General features: G+C 46.1%; 1 protein-coding gene across 1 annotated transcript in view, besides 1 other annotated feature; it reads right to left on the bottom strand.

The window, feature by feature from the left end:
• GNB1L (G protein subunit beta 1 like) overlaps nucleotides 1–13,107 on the bottom strand; it is a 71,652-nt gene that overhangs the window by 38,345 nt on the left and 20,200 nt on the right. The window lies entirely within an intron of this gene.
• Nucleotides 1,855–2,369: an enhancer, noted in NCBI's record as "H3K27ac-H3K4me1 hESC enhancer chr22:19810945-19811459 (GRCh37/hg19 assembly coordinates)". NCBI's record gives its function as "activates a minimal SCP1, AML or CMV promoter by ChIP-STARR-seq in naive H9 embryonic stem cells {active_cell/tissue: H9 hESC(naive)}" and the evidence as "EXISTENCE:reporter gene assay evidence [ECO:0000049][PMID:30033119]".

Consider the following 13,107-nt stretch of genomic DNA (forward strand, 5'->3'; position numbering starts at 1 on the left):
TGCACGGCGGTGAGCCCAGCAGAGAGCACAGAGCTCACCCTTCCCCCACTGCTGGGGGAACTGGGAGCCCCATGGATGCCAGCCCTCCTCGCACCGTGCCTGTTGGCCTCTGCACCTGACTGGTGCACCCGCTTGGGCCCCACCTGAGCCATCCCTGAGTGGGCACAGCGGCATCCAACACTTCCTCGGCCACTCTGGCCTCCAGGGCTTCCTGTCCACCACTGGCTGTGCCCTCTGGCTCCCCAGATCCCAGGGGCCACACCAGTGCTTTCCCACTCTGGCCATCTGCATGCCGGGACTGCCGGTCCTGCCACTGGGCTTGGCTGAGTCCCGCCCTCTGTCCAGGGCTCACTCCAGTGTCTCTCTTGGGAGCCACCCTCCCTCCCTGCTGGCAAATCCAGTCTCCCTTCTTCTCTCCTCCCTGCTGCCACCTCTGCCCATGGCCAGCTCAGGGATCAGGGGAAAAGAGGCACACAGGGTCCCGGGGGGCTGCTAGGAGGAGCCTTCCTCTCACATCTGCTGGGCCCCAGGCCTGCCCCGCCACAATTTCTAACCGCTATCACCACCCTATAAGGCGGCAGCACCCTTTTCACTCTTGGGGAAACCGAGGCAGAGAATAGTCACTGAGCTGCACCAGGCCCCTGGCGCTGAGGCCTGAAGTACTCTAGGGCCTCATGGCACCACTGAAGGGCAGAGTGGCTGGGGCAGAGTCGCCGTGCGGCTCCTTAGGAGAGCTGCGGTCACAGATGAGCAGCTGTTCCCCAGACCACTGGGCCTGTGGGGGAAGACTGCCGGGCCACCACCCACCCAGAGAGGCTTCCCGGGTCCGTGCCGAGCCCTTCCAACCACTCAGACCCACAGGGCCTCGCACTCCACCTCAGCCCCACAGCTGGCTGCTCTGTGGGGTGGCCCTGGAGCCAGAAGCGACCAGCTCCATGTCTGTCTGCCTGCAGACCCTGAGCTGGGCTAAGGGCTCAGAGGGAAAGGCCAGGAGCAGACCACTGGGTGGCTGGGGCAGCCTGTCACAGGGGGCCTTTCCCACTGGGCTCTGGGACAGTGGGGCAGGCCCCGGCCCAGCCACCTGCAGCCTGCACACAAGGCAGGGAGGATGGCCCACGGCAGCCACAGCCAGCAGAGGGACTGGGGCCAGTAAAGGACCAGGGCAGGGGAGATGGGAAGGACTCTTCAGAAGGGGCTGGGTGGTAGGCGGATGGGGGTGCAGGTTCAGAGGCAGGAGTGCTGTGGATGTCTGGAGGCAGCTGTCCAGGGTGCCCCTTCAGCAGCACTGCCACCGCCAAGCCCTGCCTCTCCCCTTCTGAATACACGCCAGCCCTCTCCTTACTCTATTCAGAGCTGGGGCAAAGGTTCAAAACACCTGAGAAATGCCCCTGCCAAGGTGTCCTGCAGAGTGGAGGGTGGACAGCAGCCAGTGCCCAAGCGGGCGGCATGGGGGAGGGCAGGAGGCCTGGGAGGGGCCGGGCAGTGACTCCAGGGCGCAGGTCCACCCTGCCTGGCGAGAGACCTCGGGCAGCCACTCTACCTCCCAACCCTGCCTCTCTCAAGGGGTTCCGAAGACAATGCGGAGTTCCCTGGGATATCCTTTACTAACTGCCAAGTCCCATTTTTCCTTTTCTTTTTTGAGGGGGATGAGAGAGGTTTCGTCCTCTCTCACCTTTGGCTGAAAGCCAACTGATCATGCCCAAACTTAAGGGTGGCTTCCAGGGGAGGCAGAGGGACCAGACCCCACACTGCTCCCAAGACCCACGGCCCCTGCTCCAGCCTGTGATGGGGAAGACTCCAAGACTCCTGAAGACGCAGCCAGGCCGGGGGCTGGAACAGCTGCCCTCAGCGGGCTGGCTTGGAGGACAGTTCTCAGAAGCCACTGCCTGTTTGTGCTATGCCTGCCAGGTAAGAAAGGCAAGCTAGCCAGGGGGACAGGAAGGCAGGGCCCAGCTCCAAGAGGAGCCAAAGAATGCAGACCCGGCAAAAGCACCTCCACCTAGCAGGAAAGCACCGAGTCCAGGATGGAGGGTCCCTCCCATGACTCCAGTCCAGGAAGCAGAGCCTGACAGGTCACCTCTACACAGGCTCCCCTGTGCAGTCCAGGCACGAACACACATTAGACACACGCTATGCTCACACATACACACACATGCACATGGTGCACACAGACACATGCAAAACCCACACATAGGACACATGCCTACACATACATGTTCACACACCCATATGTGCACACACACACATGCACACACACAGGCACACACTCATACCTACATACACATACACACACGCAGACTCAGACACTCAGGCACAGGCACTCACGTATGTGCACACACAGCACAGAGAAGCACACACACAGACAGCACGGCGGCCTTGGGCGGTGCCAGCCGAAGCCCGGCCCCCACATGCCACCTGCCTGGGGCCTGGCGGGAGTTTCCAGAACCTCACCAGCAGAAGGCTCATTCTCAGGTGATGAAATCAAGTTCTCCTCTATTGTTTCCCCAGAACTGCAGGGAACAAACCCGTCACGTTGTTACAACAACCAAAATGCACAGGCCAAAATGATGCATCGGCAATTAAGGGCTCCATCATTTCAAGTAATTAAAATAAATGCTTTATTTGAAAACTAATTAATTCTAGCTACATATTTTTCCCATGACAATATCCTAGGATTGCTTGATTTATGACATCTAATTATTCTTTATTAATCTAATTGAGAATCATCACATTCCCCTATCTTGCCTGGCCCCAGGCTGTGGAGCAAAGGCCGCCCTTGCGCAAGGCCCGTGTGCGCCCAGCTGTCCTTGCGGTGGCCCCGGCCCAGCCCCGGCCCTGTCCTCCCGGAGGCAAAGGAACAGGAAACTTAATCCACAGAGCACAACTTTGGCTTCTGCCTGCTCTTCCAGGTGTCAAAGTGAGCCACATTCTTTGAAAAATGAAAGGCAGTCTGACACAATTTGTGCAACTCTAACAGCCCTTCCAGAGAAGCCACAAACACCCCTGAAAGCCCCAGGGAACAAATGGACGACAACAGCATCTGCCTGCAATGCACCACCGCGGAGGCAGCTCGGCAGGCCCCAGGGCTCTCCCAAGAGGGGTCCAGAGCGCTCCTCTGGGTGTGGGGACCAGCGGGTAGGTGCAACTGGCAGAGAGGTCCACAGACACCCCACTCAAGGGAGGCAGGGGCAGGCCTGCAAATGTCCTGCTGGCGCAAACCCACCCACACCTGCAGGGCCTTCCTCCCTACAGATGAAGCAGGGCTGCGGCAGTGGCTGGAGCCCAAACACCACAGGTCCCTACCCAAGACATTCTTGGGCTCCTGGGGGTTCATGCCAGACAGGCCTCAGCTCAGCCTGGGCCCCCGCCCTGCCCTCGGGCTGCACAGCCCTGTGCTCAGTCCCCTAGCCCTTTTGTGGAAATCAGCAAAGAGTACCACGAAGTGAGCCAACGTGGGGAGCCACCACCCAGAGAGGCCACTGGCACCACCCCTGCCCACCCCAGCCCACCAGGTCCTCCCTGTCCCATTGGGCATGTGACAGCACAAGGACAGGCCGCACAGGCCGCTGGGAGTGCCTCAAACAGGACCCTCTGCCCCACTGCATATCTCACACAAGGGCATGGAACTAGCTCCAGCATCCCCCGAGGAAGCTCCAGCCCATAATCAGCAAGACTGAAGACTAGGTCAGCACCCCTTTACACCAGGACGGACACCCTGGGTGGCCCTCTCCCAAAAAACAACTAAAGATGTTGATAAAAGTTTCTTAGAAGGCCAGGCATGGTGGCTCATGCCTATAATCTCAGCACTTTGGGAGGCCGAGGTGGGAGGATTGCTTGAGCCCAGGAGTTCAAGACCAGCCTGGGCAACATAGGGAGACCTTGCCTTTACAAAAAATAAAAATAAATTAGCCAGGTGTGGTGGTGTATGCCTGTGGTCCCAGCTACTCAGGAGGCTGAGGTGGGAGGATAGCTTGAGCCCAGGAGGTCAAGGCTGCAGTGAGCCATGATCGCGCCACTGCACTCCAGCCTGGGGGACAGAGCAAGACCGCATCTCAAATAAATTAAATAAAATAAATAACTATCTTTAAAAAATTTTTTTAAACACAGCCAGGCACAGTGGCTCAGGCCTGTAATCCCTGCACTTTGGGAGGCCAAGGCAGGAGGATTGCTGGAGTCCAGAAGTTCAAGACCAGCCAGGGCAACATAGTCAGACCCCCATCTCTACAAAAAAAATAAATAAATTAGCTGGGCATGGTGGTGGGTGCCTGTAAGTCCAGCTACTCAGGAGGCTGAGGTGGGAGAATCATTTGAGCCCAAGAGTTCCAGGCTACAGTGAGCCACAATCACACCACGGCACTCCAGCCTGGACAGCAGAACAAGACCCTGTCTCTGAAAAAAATCAAAATCAAAATCAAAATATTAAACGCATCACTAAGTTGACAAAAAAAAGTCTGAGCTGCCAGAGGCCAAACACTAAGTAAAAGTGCAGCCTCGGGAGACCTGCCAAGCCTGCCTTGAGGGCATTTGCTGCACTAGTGACCTGGATTTCCAGCTCTGATGGCCTCTGGGGTGACAAAAGGCAAAGCTTAGGGCCATCCTATGGTGGCTAACCTCCTAGGAGAACCCCAGTAGCTAGATGCTCAGTGTTAGGCTGAGCCAGCACTAAACCTACACCCACGGATGCCAGAAAAACACCAGTCCTCAGGTTTCAGCCCTAACTCACACCACCTTGAGAGATCCCCCACACTTCAGTCTGTCTTCTCAGAAGGAACCCACCTGCAACCCAGGCCTCAAGGAATTCACTTTAGAATAAGTCCTAAGAAGTGCAAGGTTGTAGTCAAAAATCACAAAAGTCAACAAGGCACTGTAATCGAGAGTCATGAGAGGCAACAAAAAACAGAACTAGACCCACAGAGCAGAGCACTCGGGTATATAAGGCAAGGGTGCTTAACGCTCTTAAAGAAACAGAGAGGGAACTGCAACTACAAGTAGAGAGCAAGGGAGATGAAACATCATCACACAGATCCAAAAAAGGATCCAACTTGGTGAGAGGTGGTTGGGAAACAGGAGATGTGTGTTGCGCCAAGGTATTACTCTCCAAACTGTTTACTGATCACAAAAGGAAAATGTGTATCTTCAATGGAGACATCTGGCTGTCACCACTTTCACCACTGAGAAAAGCTAGCACTGCCAATAATGAACAAACTGGCATTGCTTATCTCCTGATGTGATGCCACAGACATGGCACCAACCTTGTGTGTCCCTGCCAACAATGCTCAACCTCAATCCAGCCATAAAGGAAACAATCAGACACATCCAGGTTACGAGACACTGGGCAAGACTACTAGCTTGGACTCATCAAAAAGGTCAGCATCAAGAGAAACAACCAAAGGAAAACGCTGGGTAACTTCCACATTAAGAGACCAAAGGGGCATGATGACCAAACATGACATATAAACCTTAGATCCTGGCTCTTAGATCAGATCCTGGATCAAAAAAAAGGGGGCTATAAGGGACATCTGGGGGATCTTTGTGGGTAATCTGAATATGGACTACAGATAATGGGGTGTTATTAATTTCCTTGGAAGGATAACAGTATTTTATGTAGAAGAATGTCTTTATTCCTACGAGATACATCCGAAAGTATTTAGGGGTGAAATGCTATAATGTCTACAATCTGCTTTCAAATGTTTCAAAAAAAATTCTCTCTTAATCTCTACCTATCTATGTATGAATATATAGGCAGAGAAGTAGTACAAATGTGGCAAAATGCTAACAACTGGTGACCACAGGTGAAGGTGTACAGGTATTTATTTTACTACACTTGCAGCTTTTCTGTAGATTTAAAACCATAAAAGCATGCCAGAGGGGTGGAGAAAGACAAGTCCACACTGGACTCGTATCCAGAATATCTAAAGAACACAGAGGTCAACAGAATACAAAAGCAAACACCGAAAGAAAAATAAGCAAAAGGCTTGGACAGATATTTCACAAGCAACGTAAATGTCCAATAAATATATGCAAAGATGTTTAACCTAATTAATAATCCTGGGAATGCCTGTCAAAACTACAATGTGATATAATTACACTCTCAGCAGATTAGCAAAAAATTAAACAGTCTGTCAAATGTTGATGAAGACAGAGGACAACTGGAACCTTCTACCATGCTAGAAGGAGCGCACACGGAAACGACCACTTTGGAAAACAATCTGACTCCATCTTGCACACCGTATGACTCGGCAACCCTACTCTTAGATAAACACCCTGAAGAAATTCTCACAAGTGTGTACAAAGAAACTCACACAAGAATGTTCCTAGTAGTATTGGGTATAATAACAAAAACCAAAAACAACCCAAATGGCTAGCAACTGCAGAAAGGAACACATTGGGTAAATTCGTACGATAGAATACTCCACAGAACTGAAAATGAATCAACTCCAGTCTTACATGGATGAAGCTCAAAGTCATAATTCTCATCAAGAGACATGAAGGGAGTCAAAACTGAAGACACAGACAGAAATAAAATGTTCACAACACGTATCTGTTCAAGGATTCATTCTCAGAATTTACTCCTTGACTCAGAATATGTCACTCAATAAGAAAAAGAGTGTAACACAAAGTAATTCCAAAACGCTAAAATTAGAGATGGGCAAAAAGGTATATGGGGCAAACAGAAACAATAAGAAAGTAGGGGTTGAAATACTAATAGCAGACAAAGTTGAATTCCAGCCAAAAAGCATTAGACTTGACAAAGACAGATAGTTTTTAATTCTTCATTGCAGTTTACAAAATATAACAGTTTATTGCCAGGTGTGGTGGGCTCACACCTGTAGTCCCAACACTTTGGGAGGCTGAGGTGGAAGGATTACTTGAGGCCAGGAGTTTGAGACCAGCCTGAGCAACATAGTCAGATTCCATCTCTCAAAACAAATAAAAATTCGCTGGGCACAGTTGTATAGTCCCAGCTATTTGGGATGCTGAAGAAGGAGAACTGCTTGAGCCCAGGAGTTTGAGGCTGCAGTGAGCCATGATCACACCACTGCATTAAAGCCTGGGTGACAGAGTGAGACCCTATCTAAAAAAAAAACTATATATATAACAGTTTTTAATATCTATATATAATATATAATTAATCTATGTAACAGTTTTTAATATCTATGCACTATATAACAGAGATACCACCTCTATAGAGCAGAAACGACAGGAGATGCAGAGTCACAGAAAGAAGCCTACTAGTGATTGGAGAATATGACATACTACTCTTTTTCTTTTTTTTTTTTTTGAGACAGAATCTTGCTCTGTCACCCAGGCTGGAGTGCAGTGACGTGGTTTCGGCTCACTGCAACATCTGCCTCTGGGGTTCAAGCAGTTCTTGTGCCTCAGCCTCCCGAGTAGCTGGGACTACAGGCACACGCCACAGTGCCCGGCTAATTTCTGTATTTTTAATAGAGATGGGGTTTCACCCCATTGGCCAGGCTGGTCTTGAACTCCTGACCTCAGGTGATCTGCCCATCTTGGCCTCCCAAAGTGCTGGGATTACAGGCATGAGCCACCGTGCCCGGCCATAACATACTACTCTTAGTACAAGTCAGATCACGTGGACAATAAGTAGGCAGATAGAAGATCCAAAAAATACAACCAACAAGGTAGATACTACAGATCTATAATGGAACTTTACACTCTCATAACAGAGCCTACCTCTTCTTCTCAAGGGTACATGGGACATGTATAAAAATTGACTGTATATTGGGTCACAAAGAAATATCAGTAAGTTTCATAAAGAAGAAATATTTATAAATAAAATTCCATGACCACAGTGCAATTAAATTAGAAATTAATAAAATAAAAAACAAAAAGGTCTTATCAAATAGAAATTTAAAAACAACTTTTAGGTGAAATGGGATAACTGAAACCACAAAAATTTTTTTAAAATGAAAAATACTACGTACCAATTTATGAGATATATTTAAAGCTCTGATCAGAAGAAAAGTATAGACCAATACCAGTTATGACTATCACACAAAAATAGTAAGTAAAATATTAGTAAACAAGACCCAATATCACATTAATATACAGTGATCAAGTGGAATTTATCCTAGAAATGCAAGGTTGGTTCAAATAGGGAATTTATGAAAGCCATATACTGTATTAATAGATATAATGAGAAAAAGCATGTAATTATCTCCACAGATGCTGAAAAAGCCTTTGACAATATTCAATGCCCATTTTTTATTAAAATACGTAAACAAACAGACATTGATGCATTTCTTAGAGGTTAAATATATATATATATATACATCCCCCTTGGTCCTAAATCCAACATATTATTTTATGAAGAAATATTGGGGACATTCCCACTAAGATCAGAATGCCTGCTATCTCTACTACCATTCGACATTGTAGTGGCAGTATAAGCCAAGGCAATTAGTCAAGAAAAATTAAGTAGAGGTTTATAATTGGAAAAGAAGACATTAAACTATCTTCCTGTTGAGTATAGTGGTACACGCCTGTAGTCCCAGCTACTTGGGAGGCTGAGGCAGGAGGATTGCTTGAGCTCAGGAGTTTGAGGCTACAGTGTACTATGATCACACCTGTGACTAGCCATTGCACTCCAGCCTCGGCAACACAGCAAGACCCCATCTCTAGAAAAAGAAAACAAAACCATATTCCAGATTATACGATGGTATACATGGAAAGCCATAGAAAATCAATGATAAAACAGATTCAAATAATAAAAAAAAAACTTCAACTGGTAGCAGGATGTAAAACTAACATAGAGAATTCAATAGTCTCTATGTTATTTGTATACAATAACAATAAAGAGCACATATTACTTGTACAAAAATAATAACCAGTTAGAGAAAATTCCATTTATACCAAAGAAGATAAAATACTTAAGAATAACTTTAATAAATAAATATGAAAAACCTACATGAAGAAAATGTTAAAATTCTCTTGGAAGACACAAAAGTAGATTTGAACAAAGGAAAAAGGATCCTTTGTTCTTGGTTAAGACAATTCAACATCAACATAAAGATGTCTCTTCTCCCCAAATTAATTTATAAATTTAACACAACCCCAACGGAAACACCAGCAAGCTTCTTTATGGAGTTAGAGAAGTTGATATTAACACTCACTTGGATAAACAAAAATGTAGCATGCACAGAAAAACATGGGGAAAAATTAGCTGCAAAGGAGCTAGCCCTATCAGATACTAACAGGTACTCAAGTCTTTAGGATTAAAAGTATAGTACTCCTGTATAGACAGATGGATCAGTGAAATAGAAAGCCTAGAAATAAACCCAAGTACGTGTGGAAGTTTAATACATAAAAGAGGTGGTATCTCACATCACTGGAACAAAAATGGTTAACCATATAAAATCAGATCCATATCTTACAGTGAAATACACGAGCATAAACTCCAAGTGGATCTGGGATCCATATGTAAAAAATAAACCAAGCACTAGAAGAAAACATGGAAGAACTGCATTATTAACATGGTTGTGGAAAAGGTTTGTCATGACTCAAAATTTAGATACAACGCCTGTAATCCCAGCACTTTGGGAGGCCGAGACTTGAGGTCAGGAGTTCAAAACCAGCCTGGCCAACATGGTAAAACCCCATCTCTACTAAAAATACAAAATTATCTGGGCGCGGTGGCAAGCACCTGTAATCTTTGTACAGCTACTCGGGAGGCTGAGGCAGGAGAAATGCTTTAACCCAGGAGGCGAAAGTTGCAGTGGGCCCAGATCATGCCATTGCACTCCAGTCTGGGTGAGAAAGTAAGACTCTATCTAAAAAAAAAAAAAAACAATAAAATAAAATGGATAATTCTGACTATAGAAAAATAAAAATTTTTCATGCCTGTAATCCCAGCACTTTGGGAGGCTGAGGCGGGAGGATCACAAGGTCAGGAGATCGAGATCACCCTGACTAACACGGTGAAACCCCATCTCTACTAAAAATACAAAAAATTAGCTGGGTGTGGTGGCAGGTGCCTGTAGTCCCAGTTACTTGGGAGGCTGAGGTAGGAGAATGGCGTGAACCCGGGAGGCGGAGCTTGTAGTGAGCCAAGATCACACCACTGCACTCCAGCCTGGGCGACAGAGTGAGACTCTGCCTCAAAAAAAAAAATAAAAGAAATAAAAAGAAAGACAAAAATTTTAGCATTTGCATGTCAAAAGAAATTTAAAAATTAATATCTTTAAAATATAAATAAACTTTTCAATATTAAGGAAAGCCTAAAAACTCAATAGAAAAATGGGAAAAAGAGATGAATAGACAATTCAGAAAAAGCTATGAAAATGCCCATTAAACACATGAAAAGATGTTCAACCAAAAGCTTACTCATAGAAAAATGTAAATTAAAACTACAGAAAAGCTTCTTGTTCTGGCAGGATGAAGTAAGCTCATTACAGCCTCTCTCTCAGGCTGACTGCAACTCAAAACTCTGGACAAAATATAAAAAGCAACTACCTAAGGCTGGGCACAGTGGCTAACATCATTAATCCCAGCACTTTGGGAGGCTGAGGTGGGAGGATCACTTGAGGCCAGGAGTTCAAGACCAGCCTGGGCAACATAGTCAGACCCTGTCTTTACGAAAAATAAAAAATATTAGCTGGGCTGATAGCGTGTGCTTGCAGGCCTAGTTACTTGGGAGGCTGAGGTGGGAGGATCACTTAAGCCCAGGAGTTCAAGGCTGCAGCGAGCTGTGATTGTGCCACTGCACTCCTCTCTGGGCAACAGAGCAAGATTCTATCCCACCCCCCAAAAAATCCCAAAAAACAATTCTCTGAAAACAGAAAAGTGGGCAACAGCAGCCAGCCGGGTTTTGGAGGAAAGCAAAGCTTAGGACAGTGACCTACACAGAGACATGTTTCCTAGGTTATTCGTATGTGTGTTTTGGGGTGCTGCCCTACAGTTGGCCCTGGTTGCAGAGCTACCAGGCAGCAGTGGCTAAAACTTGGATAAAACTCCAAATTTCTAGATAGAGATACAGAGAAAAAGGTGCGCTACGGCCCCAAGAATGTGAGGGGAAACCCTGAAGGTTTACTGTCCCCCTCTCTCACGGTGCTGCCCCAGGGATGGCCCTGCACACAGAGCCCAGGGGAAAGTGACTGAGAGAGAAGCTTGTCTTTCTGATCAGGGGAACCAAGGAAAGGGAACCCTGCAAGATGGCAAGGGGGGAAACTACAGAGTGGGGAGAGCTAAAAAAAGTTCCCCAATTCTGTGAATAAATACACAGAAGCCTCAAGCTCACCCCTGAGCTGTGTATACACAGGGCAGACCCAAAGCAGCACCAGCTGTAAGAAGGGAAGTAAACCAACACTCAAGTCTCAGGCTGAGCCCTGGGTGGCTGATGTGCGAGACAGAACCAAAGCAGCATGTCAAAAGCTCTGAAAATAAAAATGAGATTAAAACCACAGCCCACGGAGGGCGAGATGGAGCTTGTGCAAATCTAACTGGGTTGACTGCCTGCTAGCGCCAAACTCAGCTCTCTCTGGAGGACCTCACACACTATTCAACCCAGGATATGTCTAGGATATCATCCAAAATTATTCAGCATACAAAGAACCCGGAAAATGAGACCAACTCTCAAGGAAAAAGCCAATTTACAGATGCCAACCTTGAGAAGATTCAGATGTTGGAAATATCTGGTAAAAATTTTAAAGCAGCTTTATGATTATGCTGCATGAGGCAAAAATAAACATCCTTGAACTGAATGGAGGGAAAAGACCTCTCAGCAGAGAAATAGAAATTATTTTTTAAAAAACCAAACAAATACGAATTTCAGAACTGAATAATATCTGAAAAAAATCAATAATGGAATGGGAGATGACAGAGTGACATAAAGTGGGCCAGGCGTGGTGGCTTACATCTGTAATCTCTGCACTTTGGGAGGCCAAGACGGAGGATGGCTTGAGGAGTTCAAGGCTGCAGTGAGCTATGATCGTGCCACCGTACTCCAGCCTAGGCAACAGAGCAAGACCCTGTCTCTAAAATAAAATAAAATAGGCCGGACGCGGTAGTTCACACCTGTAATCCCAACACTTTGGGAGGCTGAGGCAGGTGGATCACTTGAGGTCAGGAGTTCGAGACTAGCCTGGCCAACATGGTGAAACCCTGACTCTACTAAAAAAATACAAAAATTAGCCAGGCATGGTGGCGGGCGCCTGTAATCCCAGTTACTTGGGAGGCTGAGGCAGGAGAATTGCTTGAAACTGGGAGGCGGAGGTTGCCGTGAGCCGATATCATACCACGGCACTCCAGCCGGGGCGACAAAGTGAGACTCCGTCTCAAAGAGAAAAACAATAATAATAATAATATAAATATAAATATAAATATAAAATAAAAGATTGAGTAAGTGAAATTATTCAATATAAGATCAGAAAGAAAAAAGATTGAAATAAGTGGTTAGCATAGCAGGGACTTGTGGAATAATAGTAAAAGGTCTAACATTAAGGGCAGTGGAGTCTGAGAAGTAGAAGAGAGAAACAGATTTGGACCCAAAAATTAATTGAATAAATAATGCCTGAAATTTCACAAACTTAGAGAAAGACAAAAGCACATATGTTTAAGAACATGATGAACCATAAACGAACCATAGGATAAATTCAAAGAAAACAATATTGAAACATCATAAACTGCTGAAAAATAATAATGAAACCATGGAGGCCAGAAGGGTGGAACATCTTTGTTAAAGAACTGAAAGAAAACAACTCTATATCTAGCAAAATATTCTTTGGGGATGAAGGCAAAATAAAGATTCCCAGATGAGGGCAAATGAGAATTTCTTGCCTACAGATCTGCACTAAAAGAAATGCTAAAGTTCTTCAGGTTCAAAAGACATGATACCAGAAAGACATGTGGAACTTCAAGAAGGTAGGAGGAGCAATGGTAAAATGCGGTTTTATCACTTCAGTAAACATGTATGATTGTTAAAATTGTATTATCTGTTGAGGTTTTCAATATGGCAGTTATAACATAATGGAGGAGGGTAAGGGACCTATGTGGTTGTAAGCCTTCTATATTTTATTTGAAATGGAAAAATATTAACTCTAAGAAGACTGTGAAGGGTTAATTAAGTATGTACACTGTCATCCCTGC

The sequence above is a fragment of the Homo sapiens genome, chromosome 22, assembly GCF_000001405.40.
Source record: "Homo sapiens chromosome 22, GRCh38.p14 Primary Assembly".
Classification (NCBI taxonomy): Eukaryota; Metazoa; Chordata; class Mammalia; order Primates; family Hominidae; genus Homo; species Homo sapiens.